The 12974-nt window shown below is 36.7% G+C and overlaps 1 protein-coding gene across 3 annotated transcripts in view; it reads right to left on the reverse strand.

Moving 5' to 3' along the window:
• SLC5A8 (solute carrier family 5 member 8) overlaps window positions 1–12974 on the reverse strand; it is a 54746-nt gene that overhangs the window by 24464 nt on the left and 17308 nt on the right. For all 3 annotated transcript variants that reach the window (XR_007063055.1, NM_145913.5, XM_017018910.3), the window contains exons 6-10: window positions 10512–10652; window positions 7430–7559; window positions 4178–4266; window positions 2847–2959; window positions 73–140 (exon numbers count right to left, since the gene is read on the reverse strand). Coding sequence is in view for 2 of the 3 variants with exons in the window: in NM_145913.5 (NP_666018.3) it covers window positions 73–140; window positions 2847–2959; window positions 4178–4266; window positions 7430–7559; window positions 10512–10652 (541 nt within the window). In the remaining variant the exon portion in view is untranslated. The remainder of the gene's footprint in view (window positions 1–72; window positions 141–2846; window positions 2960–4177; window positions 4267–7429; window positions 7560–10511; window positions 10653–12974) is intronic.

Raw genomic sequence — 12974 nt, forward strand, 5'->3', positions numbered from 1 at the left:
AAGGATGGTCACATCAACATTGAAAAAAGATTTAGTGATTTATGACTTAAACCTCCAGGGGCCAGCTCTCACCTGCAACAAAGCTCCCATAAGTGACGCCAGCGCAGCCATTCCAATACACAGGGCTCCATACACCACACCTAAATGGACAACATAAAAGCCAGTGTAAAATCCACACCCAGAGAATTAGAATTCTCAATAGAATAATCCACCACACCTTTGATTCAAAGTGGATAATATGACTGTGGTGAAGAATGGCCACACACATCAGAGCCAGTGAATAAAGGAAATGGCTATTTTCCTCTAGGATCAGCAGTGTTTCAAGAGGACGAAGCCCTTACATTGTGTCCCAGGATTAGTTACAACAGTAGGTTATATAAGTAAAGAGTTCCTGGAATAAACTATAGGTATTTAAAACTAAGAACTATATTGTGTTATTAATCTAATCATCCATAAACATTTGTATATAAAGAAAGGCTCAGGTCTCTGTTTTCAGCTTGCCAAAAATAGAATACTATTCAGCTCTGCTCTGTACAAGGTGAGAGAAGGAGTAATAAACAGAAATTAGACTCTTCTGACTTTAAGCATTCATTTCCCTTGGGAAGTGGCAATGGACACTATGGGGTGTTGGACGACTTTTAGCCCCCTCATAATCTCCATCAGTATCCTCAAGCCCTTCCTATTAAACTAGCAAAGAAAGGCAACTTCTGGATAAGTAGCACATCTGCCCTAATGCTAAGTTGTTTTCCCCAGACTTCTTTAAAAAAATTTTTTTTTCATAGAGACGGGGTGTCGCTATGTTGCCCAGGCTGGCCTCAAACTCCTGGGCTCAAGTGATCCTCCCACCTTGGCCTCCCAAAGTGCTAGGATTACAGGTGTGAGCCACCACACTCAGCCCAAACTTCTTTATAAAAGTTTTCAAACCACCACTGGTGGTCAGATTGTGGAATATTTTTTTCTATTGACTTTCAGTATTTTCTAAATTTTCTCCAGGTACATGTATTACCTTTTAAATTATAGGAAATATCATGCAAAAAAACCCCCTTTGTTTTAATACTTCCATTCAGCAAAAGTCACCTGAAATCAGTTGATATAATTTCCCAAATGCAAAACTCAATATACAGAAAAAAAATGAATGGGAAATTTGTCCATCATAAAATTTTTGTATTCCTTATGTTATTTCTATTTTATTTTAGCATTCATACCTTTGTTAAACGTATTGAGTAAATAATGCATCTGAATGAAAAATTTTAAATTGATTTTTTTGAAGAGTTCTCATTGCTATGATTTTTACGCCTCTCAATTTTAATGTAAATAATATTTTCAATATATTTGGTTTGATTCTCCATTTGATAGGTTATGAATAGTCACCATTATAATTTTGGGAATTCAAAGTTATTGGAAACACATTCAAATCATCTGCCACATTCTTCTCTATGTCCTTACTGCATATACTTCAAGATTGTGATTTCATAGTACCCTTTAAAATGAATGAAAGTCTCGTCTATATTAGCAGAGTTGATTTGTCATTCATCAACATCATTCCATGAGCACCAGCCAGTGCCTCCCGTTTTATATGCATTATCTCAAAACCCAATTCTGCAAAGTATTTGTGTGCCCATTTCCTATATAGAGAAATAGAGGCTTGTATGGGTAACTGGATTTTCTCAAGGTTAACAGCTAGTAAATTAACAAAGCAAGACTGGGTTTGTCTGGCTTCAAAAGCATCTATTCATCTATTCATTCTACTAAACCACACAGCTTCAATAATCCCATAATGAACCAGTCTAAAAACCCTTTAGGAAGCATTGCATCATTCTGAAATTATGTTCCAGGATTAAAATTGGGTACATAATAAAATGATGCATTGCTATTTAAATTTAGGGAATACTGAAGGATATAAATTAAGGACTCATTTCAGGCTACAGTTGTGGCAATTTTACATAGAATTATGGCTACTAATGGGGTATAATTTACTATTTCTTTGACAGTCTATTGATGTTATTGTGTTGAGGTTAAAGATTCTTTCTCGAAAAGGAATTTGTTAGTCATGCATTTCAAGGTGTCAAAATGAAGAATGCAGTACATTGGCAAGATTTCTTTGAGTTGGATATTACATTTGAGACATCTGGGAACTGAAGATGCTTAAACCACTCTATTCAAGCTGGTATTTAACCCCTAATGAGGCTCTACGATTGAACAGAACAGAAGTTGAGAATTTCTTGCACAAATTTATAGTTCATCTCCAGGACAGTGTACATAAGCAGACAGAACAGACAACTAAGACGAGTCAAAATTCATAACACTCTGTTTCTTTATCTTCAATTCATCTAATCTATTAATCTAATTTAATCTAATCCTCTGTAAACATTTGGGAAGTGTTTATGGGAAGACAACATAACTGAAACTGACAGTGCCTTCTTAGGTAACAGAAAAAGTGTGGCTCTTGGTTACAAACTAGGGATATTTCTTAGAACTGTGGACTACAGTTGAAAAGGAAAATAGTTGAATTTTTTGTGTGTGTGGCTAAGAATTTTAACACAAATTTAGGATAGGATGAAGGCACAGGAAAAAAGGACAGCTAAATCGGTCCCCTGGAAATTGTCCTTTGTGGTTCACTGACAATTAATTGTTTGAAGTGTCTCCCAAATCTTGATTACAGATATGGTAACATTAAACATTGATACAAACATTTTTTAAAAATCTGCATTGTCATAGGCATACATATGTGGATATCCAGTCATATTCAGAGGTCCTTCCTCTGTAGCTTCAGTGGAAAAGAAATTTTTGTGTCTCAAAAAATCATCTCTCTGAGCTAAAATGGAATTATGAAAACAGAAACTTACTCATTCCTTGGGAAATCCAAGACAGAGACCTTTCTGAGAGCGATCTGAAGTAAGGTTTGATTAGATCTTCCACAGTTACTGCTGCTAAGGCATTAATACTGGAGGACACTGTGCTGTAAGGGAAAATAAAACTTTTGATTTATAATATTTTACCTTTAATAATACTTTAAGTGGGAATGAGAAAGGGGGAAACAAATTGTCACTTCTAAAATATAACCTGATTTCTACTATGCTTTTTTTTTTTTTTTTTTTTTTTTTTTTGAGACGGAGTCTCGCTCTGTCGCCCAGGCTGGAGTGCAATGGCATGATCTCGACTCACTGCAAGCTCTGCCTCCCGGGTTCACGCCATTCTCCTGCCTCAGCCTCCCAAGTAGCTGGGACTACAGGCGCCCGCCAACAAGCCTGGCTAATTTTTTGTATTTTTAGTAGAGACAGGGTTTCACTGTGTTAGCCAGGATGGTCTCGATCTCCTGACCTCATGATCCACCCGCCTTGACCTCCCAAAGTGCTGGGATTACAGGCGTGAGCCACTACACCAGGCTCTACTATGCTATTTTTAATAATCACAGCACTGTCTTTCTTGAAACTGTTATCATCCAAAAATGATATTCAGGCAATATCTACAGGCTTGACAGTAAAAGAGAAAGGATATGTTCATGTTGCTTCCACTTGCTGTTAATCCTCAGTGTCTAAAAGAGTCTACATAGATTACTCCGTATTCCTATGCATAACAACTTTAAAATGTATTTTTCTTTGTGCATAGAAAGGACTGTCATAAGTCCTCCCTACCATGTGCTGTAAATATCAACAATATTAATTTCCTGAATCCCCACTAACACACACTGTACATGTTGATAATAACAATTCTCTGGAACAAACGCAAGGAGAAAGGGCAATGATAGATCACAAAATGTAAGATTCTTTGGGCAGTATATATTATTCAACATGTAAATGGAAGATTTCATTCTAATTTTCCAGTTGACCACGCTTCAGCCCCATGTGTGTTTTCAATCAAGACTGTGGCACCCATTTTTGATCACCAGTGAAAGCTACCATCAACCGATCGTCATTATTGTGACCATAGGTATCACATCATAGGATGTATGGTGGTGTATTAGAGAGCAGGGACCTAGTTAAAAGTGGAGCCGATGACAACAGGACGCTAGTCCACAGAGATAAGTCAGACCACAGAGAGGACACATACAGCAGATTGCCTACTTTGGGCCATCTGTGTCTGTGCCCAGAACTCCACATTATCCCGCTAAAGTATCTAATAATAAAAGAAAGATCCCAACAGGGAAATCATATGTTATTAGAGTCATAGTTCATACCTTAATGTCCCACTGTAAGCACAGGCCACAAAAAGTCCAGGAAGTCCTGGATAATCTTGCAGAATGTCCAGTACCAAATAAGGCATGAGCTGAAAAATTCCAAAATTTATTTCCAAGTACTTTCGCTACTGAATAAAATTAATGAATGCCTAGTTTATCATTTGTCTTGTCTCCTTCGGGAACTGAAAGGAGTTATTCCACACAAATGAAATTTTCAAATACCTAAAATTAAACTGTTTAACTACTAACACTTAGAGAAACGAATAGCACAGTAGTTAAGTAAAGAGGCTTTGGATTCACACAGATACGGCTTTTGTAACTGAAGTTCTGAGCCTCAGTTTCCTCATCTATAGAATAGTTGTAATAATACTAACCTCATAGAGTTGCTGTAAAAGTTAATTTAGATAATTTATGTAAAACTCATAGTATAGTATATGGAATATAATAAATGCTCAAAACAAAGTAGTTGCTATTCTTGAGAATAATAAGTTGTCTTTAAGGAAATATTTGACACACCTCTGTGCTTAAGTAAGCAGCATCCACTTAACTTTACTTGATGACTCAAGGCCATTTTGTGAACTTCAGTCACTGCCCAGGACAGAAGATGTAATTTTAGGTGCATCAGGTACGAGACATAATGATGGGTGGAGAATGACTTCAGGAAATCCCTTAAACTTGCTTCTGTTAAAAAACTTCCTGATACTAACTTGCTTTTTGATAACTTATATTTTAAAAAATAAATATCAAATTAGGATAATCAAGTGTGTGACTTCAGGACTCTGTTGCATGGCAGTTTTTCTACAAAATCAGTTTCCGAATCAAAAGAGTCCTAAGTGGACAATTTTCTCGAAGAGTGTCCTCTCATTTGCACTAAAACCTTATTGATTACTTCTCCCACAGTACAGAGTAGATGACATGTCCTATTTTATCGGCTTCCATAGCCTCTTCAATTTCATTTAACAATAGTGTGCTCATGGGATATGGAAGAACTTCCTCCACTGTTGAAAAGAAATGTTTCAACATTAGGATTGTTTCAGTTCTTTTAGGACTGTGTTCTCCACTTTTCCAAAGCTTACTCAATCTTTATTCTCAGAAAAACGGAATAGCATTTATCCCTATATGAGATCAAGACCCAATTTTTCCAAGATATCATAAAGGTTTAACTTTAAACAATGTCCCACAAATAGCAAAAGTAGGTTCCATCTATAGTGTTATAAAAAGGTCCAAAATCCTCTATCCTATCTTCAACTTTCTCAAAAATCTGTGGTGTAATTATTTCGTATCTGAGTGGCCCCCTCAAGTATAGGTAGAACCAATGAAATAGGATTGATGGAGAGGAAAATAGTAAAACTATATCTAGAAACTGGCCTGCTTCCTCTGGGCAAATGCCAGCAGAGCATAGAGAAACATATCCTTGCTCTCTTGAGGATAAGGGGTTTTTTTGTATTTTTTGTTTGTTTGTTTTAAGGCAGTCTCCCTCTCTCACCCAGGTTGGAGTGCAGTGGCTCGATCTCGGCTCACTGCAATCTCCACCTCCCAGGTTCAAGCAATTCTCCTGCCTCAGCCTCCTGTGTAGCTGGGATTATGGGAACCCACCACCACGCCCGGCTAATTTTTGTATTTTTAATAGAGACGGATTTTACCATGTTGACCAGGCTGGTCTCGAACTCCTGACCTCAAGTGATTTGCCTGCCTCAGCCTTCCCAAGTGTTAAGATTACAGGCGTGAGCCACCACGACTGAGCGAGGATAAGGTTTTGACACGATCTTCCACTGTCTTATTTGCATGGTATCCCCAGTGAAGTGTTAATTGAATTAACTTGTTAACTAACACAGTCCTGGAAATATATCAGTTGGGGAGAAATCTTCACGGACTCTCTAAGCGTATGCAAGCAAGACACCCTGAATGTATTCTACAAGATGTCTCAAAGGTAGGAAGCCGTAGGGATTTTTTTTTTTTTTTTTTTGGCCCAGGGTAAAGGCAAAGTATATTACAAACTTTTTTTTAAAGTCGTTATTGTCTTCATGATACAAACTACAGACAATACAGATTGATAACAGTCACAAAATATTCTTTATTAGAGGGGATGTAACAAGTGTGCCTCCATCTTCATAGTAAACGTGATTCTTACCTTCTCTGAGAGAACAGAGAGGGTGTGTTTATCAAAAGGAGGGCATAAGTTAAGATAGGGTTGAGAAACAGCTCCAGGGTGTTTTTATTTTCTCGGCCCACCAAGTTGTATTTTTCTGGGAGCATGAGATGCATTTGCATCAACAGAAATTCAATCTATTTTCATTCTAATGAATCCCCTAGGAACTTGTTCCGCAAGTGAGTCTTAGAAAATAATTTTGGCAAGAACTCAGGCTTTAGGGTTGGGCAATCCTGTGTTTGAATTCTAGTTCCCCTTTTTGAAAGACAATAAATGGCACAGAGGTTCAAAGTTAGGACTCTGGTGGCAGCTTGCTTGGTTTTAAATCCTGGCTCCAGGTTACTAGCTAGTTATTCACTTAACTTCTCTAGGCCTGAGTTCTCTCATCTTTGAAAGGCAGATAATCATAGAACCTACATCAGAGGGTGACTGTGAAGATTAAAAGTTGAAATTTATATGAAGCATTATGGTAGTGCCTGGCCCATGGTGGGTATTTGATAACTGCTCATAGTTATTCTTACTTATTAGCAATGTGACCTTGGGTAAGTTATATAACCTCTCTGAGAAGCATTTCCTCATCTGTAAAATCAGGATTGCAGGGTTGTGAGAATTAAATGAAGCATGTTAAGCTCTTGGCACAGAATCTCACCACATAGTTGGTACTCAGTAAATATTCACTTATTGGATCCATCTCTCCATCATTTAAAAAATTGGAAGATAAATTGCTTATAAATGAATGCTCTAACAAACACCCACAAAATGTTCTATAGTACAATGGTTTGTGTAGTTTAAAAAACAAACAAACAAACAACAACAACAACAAAAAACTGTGTTCACATTCCTACTCCCAACCTTGAGCTATTCCTATTTAACACTCTGCTTGATTTTTTCCTGGTATTTCCATATTTTCATTTTAGATGCAGTACTCTTCATTCTTGCTATATCTGCTAAAATAAATTCTTAACAAAGTTTTATAGAAATGTAAGATGATGATGGCATGTCCACTTTCCGTTTCTCTACAAGAATATGAATGCTCTTTCCTCTCAACTAATAAGCTTTTTGAATATTATTAATACACCTGTAAGAAAGACATGGTACTGAACCTGGTCTGGTGCAGACACTTTCTTGGCTGTCCAAGGATCACAGTCATGGTACCTGGAATATAGGGCGAGCCCACAAAACACTGAGCATGTGAGGATTGCCCAGAGTCCCACAAGATTGATGTAGAGAGACCTAAAGAAGTGAAAACAAACCAGCAAAAGACAACTGTAATTTCTGTCCCAAAGATTAGGAAACCTGTTACATGATCAAAAGAGACCTTCATGATTAGACTCAATAAATGTACATTATCTTTTGATTATCGAAAACTCTACTTATTTTATTCTAGCCTAATATTCTGCTTATGATACCAATCAATCGACAGTGTATTTGGAAATATTTGAATGGATGGGATTTCCCCATGAAAGAGTGTATGCTCGTGGTCGGAGCTCCAGGGGCATTGTTAGCTTTATAAAGGTACCTAGTTATACTACTTCAGGTCTTCTTGTCATGAAATAAAGATTTTAATAGTCAATCGAGCATTAACTATTACTCATTTTCCTTTTAAAAGTAATGCAATTGTAAACTGCTAAACATTGTTAACATTTACACAGTAACTCATGAAACTTGTTTAAATGTTGTTTATAAGACCACACATTAAGTAGGAATGCAAATCTGTATTCCTTGGACAGGTATCTTCTCAAACAATATTCAGCACTGTAATATACTGTGTGTGCTCCAGTAGAGAATAAAGGTTTACACACAGCACTGGAGCCAGTCCTGAGCATAAATCCTGGCTGTACCATAAGTGACCCTGGGCCAGTAATTCAACCTCTCTGATCTTCAGTTTCTTCACTGAAGTGTAGGATAGCAATGCCTATGTCACAAAGTTATAAAACTAAATGAAACAGTATATTATCATATAGCATGGTACTTACACATAATAAACCCCTGTTAAATACTAGTTATTGATATTAGTGTTAGTGTTATTGAATCCTATGTCTTAATAATCAGTTGAATAGTAAACATTTCTCTTGCTAAGATGGCTACATATTTTTTCCACTGGTGCTGTAGTGGACAGTGATGAGCTGCCCGAGGTGGAAAAGAGGTACCATCCCTGAAGTCATGCCTCCTTCTTCCCAACCCCCGCAGGAAGTCTGCATCCAATGACAAATGGATTCAGAGGTTTAAAGGCCCAGTCCCCTCACCCTAACATGGGACTAGTCTGAAGAGCCACCCTAGCTCTAGAGCTCCCTTTGAGGCCTCTGTTCAGACTGCATTACAGTCCAGCGTCTCCCTCTCGTCAATCCTGTTTCCTTTTCTTCCCTTCTACATATAGCGATTCTCTGATAAACTCTTCCATGCTAACCTCAACCTCAGAGTCTGCTTCCGGAAGAATCAAAGGTGGGTTTATCAGATTTATCCTTCTCCCTTGAATTGACTAACATTGCAGTATGTTTTGCTATTGCTAGCTCATCTCCAAATCACCAGAAAATTATGCCCAGATACTCTCTTGTCCAAACACCTCCTGTCTCTTATATATGAGTTTAATATATTGTTTTATTTCACTTTGATGCTATTCAGATTGACCACTTATCAACATCTCATACTGTCTTTTGTCAATCAATGTCAGTAGGTCTTGGTTTTTTAGCAGGGATTCATTCTTACCATAGCGTAAGTGTGAGAAGGCAGACGAAAATGAGTCCCCTGGGTTTCGAGAGTCTGCTTCATGCAGGAGATCTACTATGCTTATGGGAATTGATTTTTATCAAGAAAGCTCTAATGCTGCTATTTAAGTTATCAAGTCGGGCTTTTTGGGTTTCATGTTCCCAAGGGAAGAGAAGAAGAGCTTGTCCACAATTACTCTGGGAGAGGTATCAGCTCTAGTATAGATTTAAAAGTACAATAGACTACTCTATCTATAAATTACATTCCTCCAATATTCCGTAAAATACCAGAATTCCTAAGTTCATTTTGGGGGGATCCCATATCTGGTTATTATATCCATATTCATATAGATTTTTCACTGTGAGTTCTTCAAAGATTTAGGTAATCTCTAAACCAATTTACTCTCAATATATTGAGTTCTGACATATGACATCACAATATTTTCATTTTCTCCTTTAAATAGAAATAGAATTGTCCTCCTTCCCTCACCCTATCCACCCTGGACTCTTATTCAATCTCCTTAGAGCTTTAAAGCCCCTAAAAGCATGTCAGCAGAGTCAGCCTATTTATCAGCACAGGGAGTGGTGAGCACTGCAGTGATGTGAGGCCTCCAGAGAAGGAACCAGCCACCATTCCACACTCTTTGCTCAAGCCAAGATGGGCTTGAGAGTTCTGGACCATGCTGTCCTTCCTACCTCTGTGCGTTCATCCAAATCACTCCACCTACCTAGAATGCCTTCCTACTCTTCTCCACCTGCCCAAATTATGATCATTCTTCATATTCATTCTGCCAGTTCAATAGGAATCTCTCATCCATCCTCCACCTTCACATCACATCAGTTGAAGTGGAAAAAGGAACTTACATATACTAGGCCTTTACCATGCGTATGCCAAACACAGTATTTTACGACACCTCCCATGAGGTGTATAGTATTTCTTATGCTCCTTTTACAAGTTTAGAAACTGCAGCTCAAAGAGACTGCAGAATGTGCCCAGGATCACTCAAATAGCAAATATTAGAGCAGGGTTATAAATCCATGACTGTGTCTGAAAATGAAATATAAAGCACTATATGTACTCTGGAACATTTTCTCTATTGCTATATCATTTCATGAAACTGTTACATATCTCCAGTATTATTTTATTTTTTCACATACTTGCATGTATTTTCCTAATTTGAGGTTAATTTTCTTCAGACAAAAGCCATATATATTTATCCCCCATGGGTTCTTATGCAAACAGATGCACAATAAATGCTGATTTGTTTTCATTAATAATTCCTATAAATATTTTCAAATAGCTGATTTAAAACATACAGTAACAATTTGTTCTTGGTCCTTTTGTAACCAAATATATCATTTATCTCTTGGAATTTCATGACACAAAAGACATAAAGGAGCTAAACGTGACTTATGAAAGAGTTTCCATAAAGACAACTGATGGTTATTAATGATTCATATACCATGGTGTGTGACTTACAGTTTTGCCTGGAATCTGCTTTTACAAGAAATATATCTCTGCACCTGGGATTGGTTGACACCGTAGATGCTGGTCCATGTGAAGGTCCCTCCTATAATAATTGTCCAGAAGGTGTGTCTTTGCAAAGGGTTAGGATTAAAACTAAATGACAAGAAACAGAAAACAAATCTGAACTATTAGCAGAGACTAAAAAAAATTCTCTTAGACTATATTTGGAAGCAAGCAATGCACATTTATATACACAACACATACATAAATATGTAAAAATTTATTAATTAATTTAAAAGGTAGAAATATTTCCAACTTAAGTTCAATGAAATAAAAAATACTATTTTCAGAGATCTGAAAATACTAGAAGAGACTGGGGGAAATGAATGTTGCAATCCTTCTGAGCATTTATATAACTTGTTCTCCTGTGATCTAAGGAAACTGTCATTTAAACAAATCTGACATGATATAATCAGAGAAGAACATGAAACATAGAGAAAGAGAAAGAGAAAAACATTCCTAAGTGCACCACAGCAGACGAGATGGCACTAAAATGAACACGAAATCAACACATTTTGTGTATAGAATTCCTCTCCCAGCACATGTAATCATAGTTCTAATCTATATTCACGTTCAACAAATCAGTCAATTAATGCAGTTTCAAGTTTTGCATTTTCTAAAAACTGCATGTCATTGTAATCATGCTTTATTAAAATGCTGTGCGTGCAAGCTAAATACTAATAGTTTAAAGCCACTTTATGACATCATGTACATAAGTCCAAAACATTGTCACAGGGAAAGCTCAACTTCCATGTTTGAAAGATCTTTTAATCTTTTTTACTGGAAGGAATGATTTTGTTCATCTCTGATATACAATATGAGCTAGAAAACTTTCTGCAAAGTTAGCTTTCATGGAGACTTCCTTAAAATTATGAAATTTTGCAAATTCATTTCAAATCTTATATTTGAGATCAGTTAAGTGCTCTAATTGTATGTGTATTCTGGCATTCTTATGGAAATGTGAGAGCCTCTATTTCATGTCTAACATTTCATATCAAAGTGTAAGAGTTTCAAGACTGTTGACCCTTTCTCCCCAAGAGAGAGAAGCTACTATATTAGCTAACTGAAGAGCCAAAAGGAGCCAGTAAGCTATCTGAGGGAAGTATGACAAGATTTAAAACACTCACTTTAGTGGTTTAGGCCATACAGAATACATAGGCCAATGGCAGACGACACAGAAAATACCAATACAATATCCTTCTTCTCTTCATTTATCTTAACTTGAGCAATACTTTGTCTATCATATTCTCAAAACATATCAGAATAACAAGGGATACTCTTGAAAAGTATGAAACACAAATAAGGCTTTTTATTGTTACTTAATGACTTTCAAAACTAAGGTCATAAAAATGTTTAATCTTTTTTTAAAAATCTCTTACTAATGTGTATAAGCTATCACTTCTGTGCTCCAATATATGTATCCTTCATATAAAGTGACAGCTATCTTGCAGAAAAATGATTGGTTCCATACCCTCTCTCCTCAGCCTGGCCTACCAGGAAGAGATTTGGGAGCAATCAAGAGTAGTCATTGGTTGTTTCCACTTCCTGGACTTCCCCCCTCCCTGTTCTGGTAAAAGCAACCCAGGTTTGCTTTGGGGAAACTACCATTTCTCCATTAAATAGTCTCAATTGACGATCAGTCAAAATATCTTGTTCTGCCCTGGCCAAGGGGTGGAACCAAGGTCCAAGCTAGGCAACTAGAGCCTCTTTTCCTTAGAATCTGAATCTTGAGCTAAAAGAAGGAAAGAAATATTGAAAATAGTCAAAGTTGATTCACTAAAATTTATCCCTGTAAATTAACACATTGACCCTGTCCAATTTCTGAAAAAGCTTTTTCTCAAACTTTGGTGCTTATTTTCAGAAGACCAGAAAAGAGCCACCAAGTGCAAAATGGGTTTTTTTTTCTTCAAACTGCCTATGTTAAAGCGGGGCTGCGATCTCAAAGAGAAGATAGGCTAATTCAAGACAACATGGGTTGTCCCTTTCCATATTGCAAAAGGACAACACTATTGATCCAAAACGGAAGGCGTTTTCAATATTCTTTTGAATTGTGTGATATACTTGGGATGAAATATCTAGTCTCTTCATTGTTCTTTCTTTAGGAAAACTGAATAACTGCTTAAAACATGTTACATCATGTGCTGTACTGTCATTTGAAGCATAGACTGTAACTTTCCTAGTCAATTCTCTAGAAATAATACTTCATATTAGATAATGTTCATTATATAATACATACACATACATAGAATTATAATACATAATCATAAGCTACTATGTTAATATACTATAGATTGCCAGGGCAATATCAAAAGAGAAACTCTCAAAGTTGCTTAAAACAAAGAATTGTCAAAATGAAATCACTGTCTTTCAGTGTCTGTCTCTGTCTCTTTTTTTTTTTTATGGCAGGTGCTAATC

The sequence above is a fragment of the Homo sapiens genome, chromosome 12, assembly GCF_000001405.40.
Source record: "Homo sapiens chromosome 12, GRCh38.p14 Primary Assembly".
Taxonomy (NCBI): Eukaryota; Metazoa; Chordata; class Mammalia; order Primates; family Hominidae; genus Homo; species Homo sapiens.